Source organism: Homo sapiens, chromosome 5, assembly GCF_000001405.40.
Source record: "Homo sapiens chromosome 5, GRCh38.p14 Primary Assembly".
NCBI classification, from domain to species: Eukaryota; Metazoa; Chordata; class Mammalia; order Primates; family Hominidae; genus Homo; species Homo sapiens.
In genome coordinates this window covers 111,301,158-111,317,700 of record NC_000005.10, presented here as the reverse complement: position 1 = coordinate 111,317,700, position 16,543 = coordinate 111,301,158, and the positions used below count along the sequence as shown (strand labels likewise).

The 16,543-nt window shown below is 38.2% G+C and overlaps 1 protein-coding gene across 6 annotated transcripts in view, besides 1 other annotated feature; it reads right to left on the bottom strand.

Annotated features, from left to right (window-relative positions):
• CAMK4 (calcium/calmodulin dependent protein kinase IV) overlaps positions 1–16,543 on the bottom strand; it is a 271,304-nt gene that overhangs the window by 177,186 nt on the left and 77,575 nt on the right. The window lies entirely within an intron of this gene.
• Positions 8,267–8,860: an enhancer, noted in NCBI's record as "OCT4-NANOG hESC enhancer chr5:110644539-110645132 (GRCh37/hg19 assembly coordinates)". NCBI's record gives its function as "activates a minimal SCP1, AML or CMV promoter by ChIP-STARR-seq in primed H9 embryonic stem cells {active_cell/tissue: H9 hESC(primed)}" and the evidence as "EXISTENCE:reporter gene assay evidence [ECO:0000049][PMID:30033119]".

Sequence of the window (16,543 nt, the reverse complement as noted above, 5' to 3'; positions counted from 1 at the left end):
GTCCTGACCACAGACAAATCATTTGGCCTACTTGACCATCAGATTACTCATCTACAAATGAGGGGCATAATCACATATGCTTTATCTACCTCATGGACTCATTATAAGGATCATGTAAGTTCAAACTCTTTGTAGGGTCTGAAACATGTTAAAAATAGAAGTTTGTGTTACAATTATTGGCTGAGGCACTTTATTTATTTAATAAATGCTGTATTATAAAACACTTTCTACAGGCTAAGCTTGAACGAATGAGTATTGCTTATTGCCCTAAGAAAACTCAAATTCTTTCTTAAAACATAGGCTTTACCGTGATTTTATATCAGTTGTGTACTTAGGGAAGTTAACAATATACTCCTTGAAATAAGAGTTCACTATATAGATCTAACTAGGAACAAATGGTTGCCTTAAACTAACCTGAACTAATTTAAATCACTATGTAATGTAACTGTGAAATTTGACATTCATTTTTTAGCACATTTCAGTCCCTACATTAGCCTGACCTATAATTTCTGGGAAGAAAGTCTCCTAGCACTTGTTTCTTATCAGATGCATTAATATTTAGTCCCTCTTACAGGTATCAGAAGCCCATGGTGTCTTCGGTTCCAAGCCCATGTCCTTTATTATTATTATTTTTAATGCCTCTTCAGTAGTTTTCGTGCATTCTGTTTTTGGGTCAAAAACAAAGGAGAGAAGCTTGAACCAGCTAGAAATTTCAAGACGAATTCCTATGTGCTCTTAATCCTCAAAATATATTAGGATACAATTACAAAAACAACTCAATTTTTAGTGTAGAGGTCAAATGTCTTCACTTCGTGTTCTGGTTTTGTTCTCAACCAGTCTTTCAGAGAACATTTAAATAGCTAGGAAACAGGTTAGAATGTTGCTATTCCTATTCTTGAAAATGCAATATTAATTGAAATTATAGATTGCTTGCTCCTGGTGATTTATCAATGCCAGAAAAGCACTGAGGTACTATGGGCTCCTATCCCTTTTTTCTTCTAATATAACCACAATGTCACCTAAGAAAACTCTTTTTTAAAACAAATGATTTAAACAAATAACGCAGTTGCAGGTCAAACATGACACTATCTCTACGCCTGTAGAGGAGCCTTCACCGTGCATCTTCACATTCTTCAAACATCCAGTTAAAGCTAAGGGGCCAGTCCTCAGAGCTAGAGGAAGATCAATCACTCAACATCTATCAGAAGCTCAGAGTTAAAAGAAAAAGTCACCTCAGGTGTTCTCATCTTAGAAGAAGAAAAGAAGGAAAAGAAGGTTACAACTCAAAGTATGTTTGCAAATGTCAGTCTAAGCCTCCTGGGCAAATGTCTGTGGAGTGAGACTAAATGTTGAGAACAGTTAAGTGGGACAGTGGTGATCACAAAGTACCTCAAATTGAAACAGCAAAGGATGGTCATAGAAAAAGAACTGAGCTGATCCTTTATCCTCCCTAGGGGACTGGCGACATCTCCTGCCCCGTTACTGTGGAGCAGGAATGGCCAAGGGAGGCTGGAGAAAAAGGATTAGAGTATTAGGCCACATGTCAAAGCTTTGATGTGATTAGAAATTATTGGAAAGCCCTTGAGGGAATGTCAATTTCCTCTTTATTATTGGTAATGTTTGCTTAGGGTCATGAAATAATTTGAGTTCCCTGAATATGCAATCTTTAATGAATAAAATGTGGTGGTCTGTTTTGCTTCCTGCATTAATTAAAAATAGCATCAAATTATTGCCTAGAGAGCCAAACAAAATGATAAACTCTTTTGTGCCCTCTGTAACTTCAATCCTAGATTTCCAACCTGCCTCTGAAGAAAACAAAGTATTGTGGCTATGGCATTGCAGCCCTTCGCAATATCTCAGGTGACAGTTATCTAGCAGAAGAAGCTGTCACTGGCTGCAGACTTTAAAAAACTGAGAATGAGCCTTTTCAAAAAAACATGGCAGAATTTGTCTAAATATTGCCAAACAGAAAATCGCTTTTTCCAAGCTAACATTTATTTAGCTCCTCCTACGCACATTGGGGTAAAAGAATTAGAAAGTTTAAGTCTTAAGAGGAAAAGAGATTAAGAATGAGGTTTAGAGTTCCTTTATATACAAAAAAAATGAAGATCATAATCTTCCACAACTAAGATTGTCGTGATGATTAAATTAGATATTTTATGTGAAAGGTCCTAGCCCAGTGCCAGGCACGTAAATGAAACTAAATGAATTTTAATTTTCTTCTTTCTTCTTTATCTGATTTCAGAATACCAGGTGAAAACTAACCTAATCAGGGAGACAAGAAATCATTAATAAATGAGCTTTTCTATGTTCTGTGCACCACCTACAATGTTAGTATTTCAAATTAATCTGTATGAATCAATATTCATTAAACTGCACCAGGCAAATGGTGCAGAAAATTAAAATAGCTCACTATTCCTCTCCCTAATCAATTGAAAAGCTAATGCTACCAAAAGTTTCTAAGTATCTGTGCAAGCAATGACTTTTCCCGCTGATAAATTTTGAGGAGAAAATAAAACCTTTTCATTAATACTTTTCTTCTTTAAAAACTCTGCCAAAAGCACATCCAAATGCACACACACTTCAAATAAAGTATGGAAAATTTTTCCAGCTAATTCGGCAATAAGCAAGGTAACAATTTGTTTACCAGGAAACCAAGTGTCTTGAACAGAAATAGCCATGTAGAACCATAACATGGTATCTATTTAATCATGTCATTTTGCTACTGCAGTATCTTATCTTTGATAAGATACTTTTTTTGATATCAAATCCATTATCTCAGAAATTACATTTCATCATCTAAATTGATATGATCCACTCTTCAAAATGTCAACATTAAGAAAGCCTTTGTAGTTGTTTCTGGATTATTTTAAACAACAATAAAAACTCCCATATTGGTAAATGTCAGCTTTCTTCATTTGTAATTGATTGTCATTATAAAGACAGAAATGGTATTTTCAACGTATTAACAAGACACTTATTTGATGGTCTTAATGGTTTTCAATCATATTCAAGAACAGAAATGAAACACACAATTACATCAGGGTATATCATTATATTGGTGGGAACTAATTAATTGGTTCATTAGCTTCTGCACATTTTTAACTATCAGCTTTTTAAAGTTCTAAAAATACTAGAAAATTATTCTGAAAAGATTATAAAGTATTTTTGTTCCTTTTCTGAATTAAAGGCACTGTTAAATTTATTAGTTAATTAAGCAAACTTTTGAAATGTAAAATGTGGGTTACAGGGCAAATAAAGAACAATATATGCACTGTTATAAAGCTCTGTTGTAATATGTGCTTTACTAATAAACAGATTTGCAGATCCATGATTGCAAAAATGTTGGAACTGTATTAAAACATGACTTTCCATTATATGGATATGCTGTTGGTCAAGCCTTATCTGGATTTGAACAATGATGGAAAAAGTGAGTCTTCATAAGTAGTTCCAAGACCACCAAAAAGTATCATTAACTCTTCACCAAATTACACAGCCTAAGACTAACAAAATCCTATACTTAAACTCCACTCTAGGTACCAGCCATACCTTATATATTAAATAAATGCATTCCCCAAAATTTCACAGCTGTTTAATAATGTATTAGTTTTTCCATTACTTCCTATTACACTTTTGGGGAGTGGCTTCTACAGAAAAACAAAATTGTCCTAACAGAGAAAAAGACACACACTTAAGAATACTAACATTCACTACAAAGAAGATTCTACTCCTATAATTCGATATACCCATACAAATTATTGCAAAAAGTTACTGAAAGGACAATCAATACACATATCGCACATCATTTAAAAGAGCATATATTAAAGTTAAGTCCAATTTCATTGGCTTCCTTTCTGACTCCACCACAGTAAGATATGTAAGCAGCAAGTAGCTATGTCTGTATTCTGGGTATTCTGTTGAAATCCTTCCAGATGAAATTCACTTAAAGAGAGGGGTTTTTCTTTGACAATTAAAATGAAAAAATACAAATAACCAATTTATATTGAGTTCTACACTCTAAGCACTGTATTGATCACTTTGAACACATTATTTCTTAATGGTAATCTATCATAACAGGAGATAAGAAGATTGAGGTTAAGAGACCTAAAGGAACATGACCAAGATCACAAAGCTTACATGTAGCAGGGAGGGAAGGTTGAATTCAGATCCAGTCTGACTTCATCACTTATGTTCTTAGTCACCCTGCTTTACTCATTGCCACCTAGACCCTGATTTTCACTGTTGATATTTTTGAGAAAAGTTGTGTGGATATTCATATTTCTTAAGTATAAGGACATATTAAAAGGTAACAAAGAGTTTCTAACAGACCGTTCAATAGAGGGAAAAAACATCTCAAGTTTTAATTCTGTTAACTGAAGAGACTCCCACACAAAGAACAGTGAGAACATTCAGCTTAGCTGCTCCATGGGGTAGAAGCATTTCTGTTATCATAACTGGGGGTGAGACAGAGCTGCTACTGACATCTCATAGGCAGAGGAGAGGGATATTTCAAAACATCCTGCCATGCACAGGATGACCCCCTCTCCTGCAGAGCAAAGAATTATTGCTCCAAAATGCGAGCAGTGCTGAGTTTGAGAAACCCTGGCTTAAGTTGAGACCTACCCAATTTAAAAATCATAAACTGTTGAGGAACACAGGGTACCCAGAATAGAAGGGGCATCCCTTTGGTGTAGTGAAAGGTCTCAAATCCTTCACACTTAGCTTAAGTTAAAGTTGTTTTAAGTTAAAAAGTTTTAAGTCTGCAAGGAAGTTAGTTTTAATATTTGCCCAAAGACAAAAAAGGAGGGCCGCATTAAAACGTGAAGTCTGCAAAATGTATACTGGAGCCAATGCTCCAAAGATTGTCCCAGAGAAGATACCATATGAGCATAGGGCTCTCCGCTAACAAATCACATTCGTCAACGGGGAGTTGGCCTCCAGTTCATTCCTACTCTGTATTTTAAACTCAGAGACATTTCTGAGTTTCTTGGATGGTTCCACAAGACTTAGAAGGCACAACCTAAAGAATCTTATTTAATTTGTGGTTGAAGTATCATTCATTTGTATCTTGAAATTTCTGGCTGCCACTAGAAACTTCAGAATATTCCATAAGAAAGAAGTCAAGGAAGACTCTAGATACACTGACTGAGTCTGCTGGAATCCTAAAAAACATGAACAAATTCAGGTCTCTTGGAATACAATAATAACTGACACCTACTACCCAGTTACTCACAGCCAGGCATTGTGTTATACTCCTCACAGGCATTATCTCATTTCACTCTCAGAACAACATTATAAGCTAGCTATTTTAATGTCTATTTTACAGATGAAAAGAGTGAAGCACTTGCTCAAGGTCATACAATTAATAAGAGGTAAATTTGGAACTTGAAGCTGGTTCTCTCTAGTATTAAAGTCTACGCCTATAACCACCATGATATCTGGCTTGTTTGGTGATCCCTCAAACCCATATTCTCTGGGCATCTATTAGGAGTCCTCCACTTTGGTCTTAAGGTCTTGGCATCCAGCTGCAAGAAAGCATTTGGCCAGGTTGCAGGGTGCATCACCTCACAATGAAATAGAGTTATTTCTTAGAATGAATAAGTTCTTTGTATGAAAATTCATAACTAGAAAATCAAGAATTTGCTTTCCTTCAAAGAAAAAAGGACTAACATTTTCTAGGATGAAACTCTATCTCATATTTTTAGATCTTTGACTTTTCTAAAATATGATGTAACTTTTAATCTGGTTTTCTACACATACCAAGAGATCTGGCAGCTAAAAAATACCAAGGAAACAAAAACAAAAGCCAAATAGCAACAACACAACATCACCTCACTGCTACCGAAGATTAGGAAGACTGACAAATTACCCATATTGATTCTCTACTGGAATGAGACCAAAGATGACAGCAAACACAGCTGGTTTATATAATATTTATGATTGTCCTTGAGAAACAAGAAATTTGAGAACAATTTGATGTCTTTGAGGAAAAAATGTCTTTTAGAAATTTATGAAGGCTTTGCAAAAATTCCCAAGAAGAGCAAAGAATCCTTCAACTTTCCTTTGGATGAAAATGACAGCTCTGCCAAATGAACAGAGGGTGTGAGGCCAGCTCTGGACAGCCTAGATGTCCCCTACATGGCTGTGGAGGTCACAAACTGTCCAGAACAACCTGGCCTCAATCCATTACATAGGCTTTTTACTCTCTTCTGCACCCACCTTCCTTCTAAAGAGAGAATGGGGCCCATCAACGTATCATCTATTTAGAGTTTTTCATACAAAGACCAATTATTCTTCAAACAGAAATCCCAGAGGTACAAGTATAAACACTATAGTATGCTAATACAAGAACTCTCTCTCAGCAAGTCTTCTCTAAGGACAGCAAGTGTGCAGGTGGTGACTGCCACATGGCAGCAGGCAGCCCCTCCATCTGCCAGTTTTAGAAAATCTAAGGAAGAGGAACTATAATTTTTTTTCTTTTTGCTTTGGACCTAATTACAACCTTATGCCAGATAAACCGATGTCACGTTCCCTTGCAATAAAAAAAGGGTGGTGGGAGAGGGTTTGGGTTTAAGATTTTACCTTCACCCAGGTAATGCTCTCACTATAAAAAGGTTGATGACAACCAGATTCTTTAATACCATTCTCTCTGAAAATAAGCTCCACTAGTTAAGAAGCTTATTTTATTTTGAATTTTTATCTAAATTCAACTGTATTATACTGGTGTTCTTAGAACGGATATGTGTGAGATCTGTTATGTGTCTGTGAAAATGATCCTCACCACTGCTGTCAGATGAACACAGCTAAAGCGACTCATCATCCCTACAGCCCAGAAAACTAGAGAAAGCATCCCAAATGCACATAAATAAATGTTTCATATACTCAAAAAGAAACATATTCACAATTCTTATTATAGTTCTGCTACTATTTTAAAAGGCCAATATACTTTTTATAATTCAGTAGAAGTTTCCTTAAGGGAATCGCTCAGAACATACCCTTAGTCTTAAAGCTATACTGTGTTCACTAGGACAGGGATTACCAAAGCATGAAAAGTAATACTAGCTGTCTTTGTTGAGGAGTTCCTATGTACTAAGTGCCAGGCTTAGTATTTACATATATACCCCTCTGAGCCATCTTCCACACTGCTGTCAAAGTAAGCTTGAGTCCTAAAGCGACATCTTCTTTTTAAAACCTTTCAATTACCCCCTATTGCCAATGGGTAAAATTCAGATTTCTTAGCATGACTTACAAGGCCTTCTATCAATTGGCTCATGCCTCTTTTGTCATTAGTGCCGGAACTTCTGTCAACCAACTCCCTGACGTCTTACTCACGATGTAGCACAATATCATTTATCTTTATTGAAAGCATAAGTACACAGATAACACTTTATTTTAGAAGGATACATTTATTTCCAAAGAAGCTACTAAACACATTGGATGTTTACTAGAGAATGGAGGTGAGGAGGTAGAAACAGTGATAAAGAGATAACAAAGCAATAAAACTAGAGAAACTTTGCACAGGTGGGGATACAGGTGGCCATGACGGAGGAGCACAGTTAAGTCAACTCTACCCCCAAAACGAGGTTGAATATGCCTTGTTAGCCTAGGTAAATATATGCACCAGGTAAATGTATGCACTCATGAAACGGTGTCAGTAAACTCTCCTCAGGTTGTAGAAAAGAGGACATAGAAGCCTGAACCCTGCTGTCTACTCATTTCCTTAATCTAACAGACTATTTATCTATTCTGAAGCATGTGTGAGATAGCACATTTATTTTCCTGCAAATTAAGGTATCAGCCTAGCCTATGTCCCTTATCAATATCTGCCCCCACCTCCACATGACACTGAGACCACCAGTGGTCCTAAAGATGGAATGAATTCCAAGTCTAAAGTCCCATATCCAACCCACATTTATTTCAACTCACTTTTTAAAAATAAGCAAAGTTTTAGAGAACAGACATTTTAGTGAGATAATAGAAGTTAAAGGGTGGTCATGGAGGGACACTTTACCATGATCCGGACCTGGAAAACTCCAGGTGAACAAGTCGGAATAGAAGAAATAACCTGTGCCACAGCTCACCCAGAGAAAAAGCCAGGAGGATGACTAAGCAGGCAGTAAAATGGATTGTTAATGGCTCAGAACCAGAGTCAGTTCTCACTCCTAGATTTGACTTTAGCTTAAGGAGGTTCAGCTTTAGTGAGACCTTATGGGGATGGTTAAATGCAACAACAACAACAACAAAAATGGGCACATATTTTGCCCAAGAGTGGCCAGGGCTCCTTGAGAGGGAGTGGGGTGTTGATCCCAGACACCTGAAAGGTTCCCACCACAAATGCACATCTTTGATCATGCTGCCTTTTCTGCCATTCACCCTGTCCTGCCCACCTAAGACCCAGGTCAAAGGTTTTCCTCTCCTACATCTCTCAGCCCAGGCAGAATTGATAAGTCCCTTCAGGAGGCATTTGGTTTGGTGTACATGCTTACTGACAATGAATAGTCTCAAGTTGCAAAGCACAACAATTGTTAAGCGATGTGCCCTCAGGGTGCCCTGGACCGTCAGCTAGCAGAGCCTTGTGACACTGCATTGCTCTTTTGTGTGTGCTTTGTTTGTTTGAACTCAAAGACTCTAAGATACTCAGGTCCAAGAACCATGTCTTATTCACTCACATCTCGACCACGGATTGTAGTTCCTGGACACTAGAAAGAATTTACTACATGTTTATGGTACAAAGGAAACATCAGTCAATGAAGTTAAACAAATATAACCACAACACAGGTAATCCCCATATGGCAAATAGAAGGTTAATTATATCTCAATTATTTTTCATCTATAATTAAATACATGTAATTTTAAGATTACTGAATATTTAATTTTCCCTTTACTTCAAAATAAATAATGGGTTTCATTTTAAGATTACAGAAGGCACTTTTAACGAATTCAGTATTTAGGGCTAAAGCTCCGGTAATAAGCTATTGTTTTCCATAACATAAATGATTCTAGGAGAATTTTACATAACTGACTTTTCCTGAAATCTGAGTCAAACTGAACCTCTCTAAATAACATTCTGTTTCCCACTGGACTAAATTTCAATTCCAGAGATGCTTAGCTGTCATTTTGGATTGATCTCCAAAAAGGATTGCTCCCAAAATTAATTTTTAAGTTTCATCTGCAAATTTTGTAGCTTGTAGATAAATATCTTTGAATGAAAAGTAATAACTACAGTAAAGGGAATTAATGTTTTTAAAGGAAACACTGATCAATTATTTCATAAAACAAAAATATTCTTTAGTAATCCTTATTACCACCACCTATTTTATATGTTTTATATATTTGGATTTCTGAGCCCCAGGCTTTTGAAAATTAAAGCTTGCTCATATTTTATTAGTTAATAAAGTGCATTTTAAAATAAGAACTAGTTTTGATACATTTATTTTATTTTATTTTTTTATTATACTCTAAGTTTTAGGGTACATGTGCACATTGTGCAGGTTAGTTACATATGTATACATGTGCCATGCTGGTGCGCTGCACCCACTAACGTGTCATCTAGCATTAGGTATATCTCCCAATGCTATCCCTCCCCCCTCCCCCGACCCCACCACAGTCCCCAGAGTGTGATATTCCCCTTCCTGTGTCCATGTGATCTCATTGTTCAATTCCCACCTATGAGTGAGAATATGCGGTGTTTGGTTTTTTGTTCTTGCGATAGTTTACTGAGAATGATGGTTTCCAATTTCATCCATGTCCCTAAAAAGGACATGAACTCATCATTTTTTATGGCTGCATAGTATTCCATGGTGTATATGTGCCACATTTTCTTAATCCAGTCTATCATTGTTGGACATTTGGGTTGGTTCCAAGTCTTTGCTATTGTGAATAGTGCCGCAATAAACATACGTGTGCATGTGTCTTTATAGCAGCATGATTTATAGTCCTTTGGGTATATAACCAGTAATGGGATGGCTGGGTCAAATGGTATTTCTAGTTCTAGATCCCTGAGGAATCGCCACACTGACTTCCACAATGGTTGAACTAGTTTACAGTCCCACCAACAGTGTAAAAGTGTTCCTATTTCTCCACATCCTCTCCAGCACCTGTTGTTTCCTGACTTTTTAATGATTGCCATTCTAACTGGTGTGAGATGATATCTCATAGTGGTTTTGATTTGCATTTCTCTGATGGCCAGTGATGATGAGCATTTCTTCATGTGTTTTTTGGCTGCATAAATGTCTTCTTTTGAGAAGTGTCTGTTCATGTCCTTCGCCCACTTTTTGATGGGGTTGTTTGTTTTTTTCTTGTAAATTTGTTTGAGTTCATTGTAGATTCTGGATATTAGCCCTTTGTCAGATGAGTAGGTTGCGAAAATTTTCTCCCATGTTGTAGGTTGCCTGTTCACTCTGATGGTAGTTTCTTTTGCTGTGCAGAAGCTCTTTAGTTTAATTAGATCCCATTTGTCAATTTTGGCTTTTGTTGCCATTGCTTTTGGTGTTTCGGACATGAAGTCCTTGCCCACGCCTATGTCCTGAATGGTAATGCCTAGGTTTTCTTCTAGGGTTTTTATGGTTTTAGGTCTAACGTTTAAATCTTTAATCCATCTTGAATTGATTTTTGTATAAGGTGTAAGGAAGGGATCCAGTTTCAGCTTTCTACACATGGCTAGCCAGTTTTCCCAGCACCATTTATTAAATAGGGAATCCTTTCCCCATTGCTTGTTTTTCTCAGGTTTGTCAAAGATCAGATAGTTGTAGATATGTGGCATTATTTCTGAGGGCTCTGTTCTGTTCCATTGATCTATATCTCTGTTTTGGTACCAGTACCATGCTGTTTTGGTTACTGTAGCCTTGTAGTATAGTTTGAAGTCAGGTAGTGTGATGTCTCCAGCTTTGTTCTTTTGGCTTAGGATTGACTTGGCAATGCGGGCTCTTTTTTGGTTCCATATGAACTTTAAAGTAGTTTTTTCCAATTCTGTGAAGAAAGTCATTGGTAGCTTGATGGGGATGGCATTGAATCTGTAAATTACCTTGGGCAGTATGGCCATTTTCACAATATTGATTCTTCCTACCCATGAGCATGGAATGTTCTTCCATTTGTTTGTGTCCTCTTTTATTTCCTTGAGCAGTGGTTTGTAGTTCTCCTTGAAGAGGTCCTTCACATCCCTTGTAAGTTGGATTCCTAGGTATTTTATTCTCTTTGAAGCAATTGTGAATGGGAGTTCACTCATGATTTGGCTCTCTGTTTGTCTGTTGTTGGTGTATAAGAATGCTTGTGATTTTTGTACATTGATTTTGTATCCTGAGACTTTGCTGAAGTTGCTTATCAGCTTAAGGAGATTTTGGGCTGAGACGATGGGGTTTTCTAGATAAACAATCATGTCGTCTGCAAACAGGGACAATTTGACTTCCTCTTTTCCTAATTGAATACCCTTTATTTCCTTCTCCTGCCTGATTGCCCTGGCCAGAACTTCCAACACTATGTTGAATAGGAGCGGTGAGAGAGGGCATCCCTGTCTTGTGCCAGTTTTCAAAGGGAATGCTTCCAGTTTTTGCCCATTCAGTATGATATTGGCTGTGGGTTTGTCATAGATAGCTCTTATTATTCTGAAATACGTCCCATCAATACCTAATTTATTGAGAGTTTTTAGCATGAAGGGTTGTTGAATTTTGTCAAAGGCTTTTTCTGCATCTATTGAGATAATCATGTGGTTTTTGTCTTTGGCTCTGTTTATATGCTGGATTACATTTATTGATTTGCATATATTGAACCAGCCTTGCATCCCAGGGATGAAGCCCACTTGATCATGGTGGATAAGCTTTTTGATGTGCTGCTGGATTCGGTTTGCCAGTATTTTATTGAGGATTTTTGCATCAATGTTCATCAAGGATATTGGTCTAAAATTCTCTTTTTTGGTTGTGTCTCTGCCCGGCTTTGGTATCAGGATGATGCTGGCTTCATAAAATGAGTTAGGGAGGATTCCCTCTTTTTCTATTGATTGGAATAGTTTCAGAAGGAATGGTACCAGTTCCTCCTTGTACCTCTGGTAGAATTCGGCTGTGAATCCATCTGGTCCTGGACTCTTTTTGGTTGGTAAACTATTGATTATTGCCACAATTTCAGAGCCTGTTATTGGTCTATTCAGAGATTCAACTTCTTCCTGGTTTAGTCTTGGGAGAGTGTATGTGTCGAGGAATGTATCCATTTCTTCTAGATTTTCTAGTTTATTTGCGTAGAGGTGTTTGTAGTATTCTCTGATGGTAGTTTGTATTTCTGTGGGATCGGTGGTGATATCCCCTTTATCATTTTTTATTGTGTCTATTTGATTCTTCTCTCTTTTTTTCTTTATTAGTCTTGCTAGTGGTCTATCAATTTTGTTGATCCTTTCAAAAAACCAGCTCCTGGATTCATTGATTTTTTGAAGGGTTTTTTGTGTCTCTATTTCCTTCAGTTCTGCTCTGATTTTAGTTATTTCTTGCCTTCTGCCAGCTTTTGAATGTGTTTGCTCTTGCTTTTCTAGTTCTTTTAATTGTGATGTTAGGGTGTCAATTTTGGATCTTTCCTGCTTTCTCTTGTAGGCGTTTAGTGCTATAAATTTCCCTCTACACACTGCTTTGAATGCCTCCCAGAGATTCTGGTATGTGGTGTCTTTGTTCTCGTTGGTTTCAAAGAACATCTTTATTTCTGCCTTCATTTCGTTATGTACCCAGTAGTCATTCAGGAGCAGGTTGTTCAGTTTCCATGTAGTTGAGCGGCTTTGAGTGAGATTCTTAATCCTGAGTTCTAGTTTGATTGCACTGTGGTCTGAGAGATAGTTTGTTATAATTTCTGTTCTTTTACATTTGCTGAGGAGAGCTTTACTTCCAAGTATGTGGTCAATTTTGGAATAGGTGTGGTGTGGTGCTGAAAAAAATGTATATTCTGTTGATTTGGGGTGGAGAGTTCTGTAGATGTCTATTAGGTCTGCTTGGTGCAGAGCTGAGTTCAATTCCTGGGTATCCTTGTTGACTTTCTGTCTCGTTGATCTGTCTAATGTTGACAGTGGGGTGTTAAAGTCTCCCATTATTAATGTGTGGGAGTCTAAGTCTCTTTGTAGGTCACTCAGGACTTGCTTTATGAATCTGGGTGCTCCTGTATTGGGTGCATAAATATTTAGGATAGTTAGATCCTCTTGTTGAATTGATCCCTTTACCATTATGTAATGGCCTTCTTTGTCTCTTTTGATCTTTGTTGGTTTAAAGTCTGTTTTATCAGAGACTAGGATTGCAACCCCTGCCTTTTTTTGTTTTCCATTTGCTTGGTAGATCTTCCTCCATCCTTTTATTTTGAGCCTATGTGTGTCTCTGCACGTGAGATGGGTTTCCTGAATACAGCACACTGATGGGTCTTGACTCTTTATCCAACTTGCCAGTCTGTGTCTTTTAATTGCAGAATTTAGTCCATTTATATTTAAAGTTAATATTGTTATGTGTGAATTTGATCCTGTCATTATGATGTTAGCTGGTGATTTTGCTCATTAGTTGATGCAGTTTCTTCCTAGTCTCGATGGTCTTTACATTTTGGCATGATTTTGCAGCGGCTGGTACCGGTTGTTCCTTTCCATGTTTAGTGCTTCCTTCAGGAGCTCTTTTAGGGCAGGCCTGGTGGTGACAAAATCTCTCAGCATTTGCTTGTCTATAAAGTATTTTATTTCTCCTTCACTTATGAAGCTTAGTTTGGCTGGATATGAAATTCTGGGTTGAAAATTCTTTTCTTTAAGAATGTTGAATATTGGCCCCCACTCTCTTCCGGCTTGTAGGGTTTCTGCCGAGAGATCCGCTGTTAGTCTGATGGGCTTTCCTTTGAGGGTAACCCGACCTTTCTCTCTGGCTGCCCTTAACATTTTTTCCTTCATTTCAACTTTGGTGAATCTGACAATTATGTGTCTTCGAGTTGCTCTTCTCGAGGAGTATCTCTGTGGCGTTCTCTGTATTTCCTGAATCTGAACGTTGGCCTGCCTTGCTAGATTGGGGAAGTTCTCCTGGATAATATCCTGCCGAGTGTTTTCCAACTTGGTTCCATTCTCCACATCACTTTCAGGTACACCAATCAGACGTAGATTTGGTCTTTTCACATAGTCCCATATTTCTTGGAGGCTTTGCTCATTTCTTTTTATTCTTTTTTCTCTAAACTTCCCTTCTCGCTTCATTTCATTCATTTCATCTTCCATTGCTGATACCCTTTCTTCCAGTTGATCGCATCGGCTCCTGAGGCTTCTGCATTCTTCACGTAGTTCTCGAGCCTTGGTTTTCAGCTCCATCAGCTCCTTTAAGCACTTCTCTGTATTGGTTATTCTAGTTATACATTCTTCTAAATTTTTTTCAAAGTTTTCAACTTCTTTGCCTTTGGTTTGAATGTCCTCCCATAGCTCAGAGTAATCTGATCGTCTGAAGCCTTCTTCTCTCAGCTCGTCAAAATCATTCTCCATCCAGCTTTGTTCCGTTGCTGGTGAGGAACTGCGTTCCTTTGGAGGAGGAGAGGCGCTCTGCGTTTTAGAGTTTCCAGTTTTTCTGTTCTGTTTTTTCCCCATCTTTGTGGTTTTATCTACTTTTGGTCTTTGATGATGGTGATGTACAGATGGGTTTTCGGTGTAGATGTCCTTTCTGGTTGTTAGTTTTCCTTCTAACAGACAGGACCCTCAGCTGCAGGTCTGTTGGAATACCCTGCCGTGTGAGGTGTCAGTGTGCCCCTGCTGGGGGGTGCCTCCCAGTTAGGCTGCTCGGGGGTCAGGGGTCAGGGACCCACTTGAGGAGGCAGTCTGCCCGTTCTCAGATCTCCAGCTGCGTGCTGGGAGAACCACTGCTCTCTTCAAAGCTGTCAGACAGGGACACTTAAGTCTGCAGAGGTTACTGCTGCCTTTTTGTTTGTCTGTGCCCTGCCCCCAGAGGTGGAGCCTACAGAGGCAGGCAGGCCTCCTTGAGTTGTGGTGGGCTCCACCCAGTTCGAGCTTCCCGGCTGCTTTGTTTACCTAAGCAAGCCTGGGCAATGGCGGGCGCCCCTCCCCCAGCCTCGTTGCCGCCTTGCAGTTTGATCTCAGACTGCTGTGCTAGCAATCAGCGAGATTCCGTGGGCGTAGGACCCTCTGAGCCAGGTGTGGGATATAGTCTCGTGGTGCGCCGTTTCTTAAGCCGGTCTGAAAAGCGCAATATTCGGGTGGGAGTGACCCGATTTTCCAGGTGCGTCCGTCACCCCTTTCTTTGACTTGGAAAGGGAACTCCCTGACCCCTTGCGCTTCCCAGGTGAGGCAATGCCTCGCCCTGCTTCGGCTCCCGCACGGTGCGCACACACACTGGCCTGCGCCCACTGTCTGGCACTCCCTAGTGAGATGAACCCGGTACCTCAGATGGAAATGCAGAAATCACCCGTCTTCTGCGTCGCTCACGCTGGGAGCTGTAGACCGGAGCTGTTCCTATTCGGCCATCTTGGCTCAAGACCCCAGTTTTGATACATTTATAAGGTAATTGGGACCCCGAGAATTTTAGGCAGTTTCCAAAAATGTTTAATTTACAGCTAACTAGTAGCTGGACACTGAGAGAATATGGCTTATTAATATAAAATGTTTTAAGATTTCTTTTCAGTCCAAAGCCAATGGTAGCTGAAAGGCTTAAAGAATCCAGGGCTTTATAATTTAAGAATATTTACCCTTCAGCAAACATCCTCACCGAATTCTAATGCCAGTTAAATCATTACATCAAAAGCTCTTCAGAATAAATACTTCTTAACTGAGCAAAGAGATGTCTCTCTTTCTCATATGAAAACCAACTAAATTTAATCATCTTGCAAGTGAACTGTAGAGAGAATAAATGACCGAAGAGTAAGTATGCAAAAAAACTACAATGGCTTATACTTTAGTTGAATCCTAAAAATAAAACTTAATCTATAAATGGAAGCAAGTTTATGTATAGGAAAGTTGTGGAGTCCAGTCAAAAAACAGGATTCCCAAAATGATAGTGGGGGAGGGTATAAGGAAGTTATTTGGCTAGAATGGAAGAATTGTCTCTGAATTGGGAAAATAGAATTCATTTTATTATTTTATGTTATCCAGACGCTGGTACCCCTATGAGAGTTATGTTTATTAAGAAAAATTCACCTTCCTATCTATATTTTCTCCCATTCCCCCTTCAAAGGAAAATAATGACTTCTGATGCAATGAAGGATTCATTAGAGACATTCTAATCCTACTAGACATAGTTTCCAGTAAGATCAGGACTTAGTTCCTTTAATCACTCCATTCTAAGTGTTTCATCACCATCCATGTAGGAGCAAGTCAGCAGTTATCACCAGAATTATTCTTTATTTGTCAATTCCTGTAATTTCAAGTTAATTAAACATACATATTTATATTCATTTTAACTGTTTAGTTTGCTGTATATAAATCATTCTGTAGGATATGTTAAGTCTTTTTTGAAAAAGCCATTTGTTGACATTCTCCAGTAAATAATCTTTTCAATTATGCTAGGAAGAGATGTTGCCTGAAATATATAGAAGCAAATCACATTTATAGTCAAGA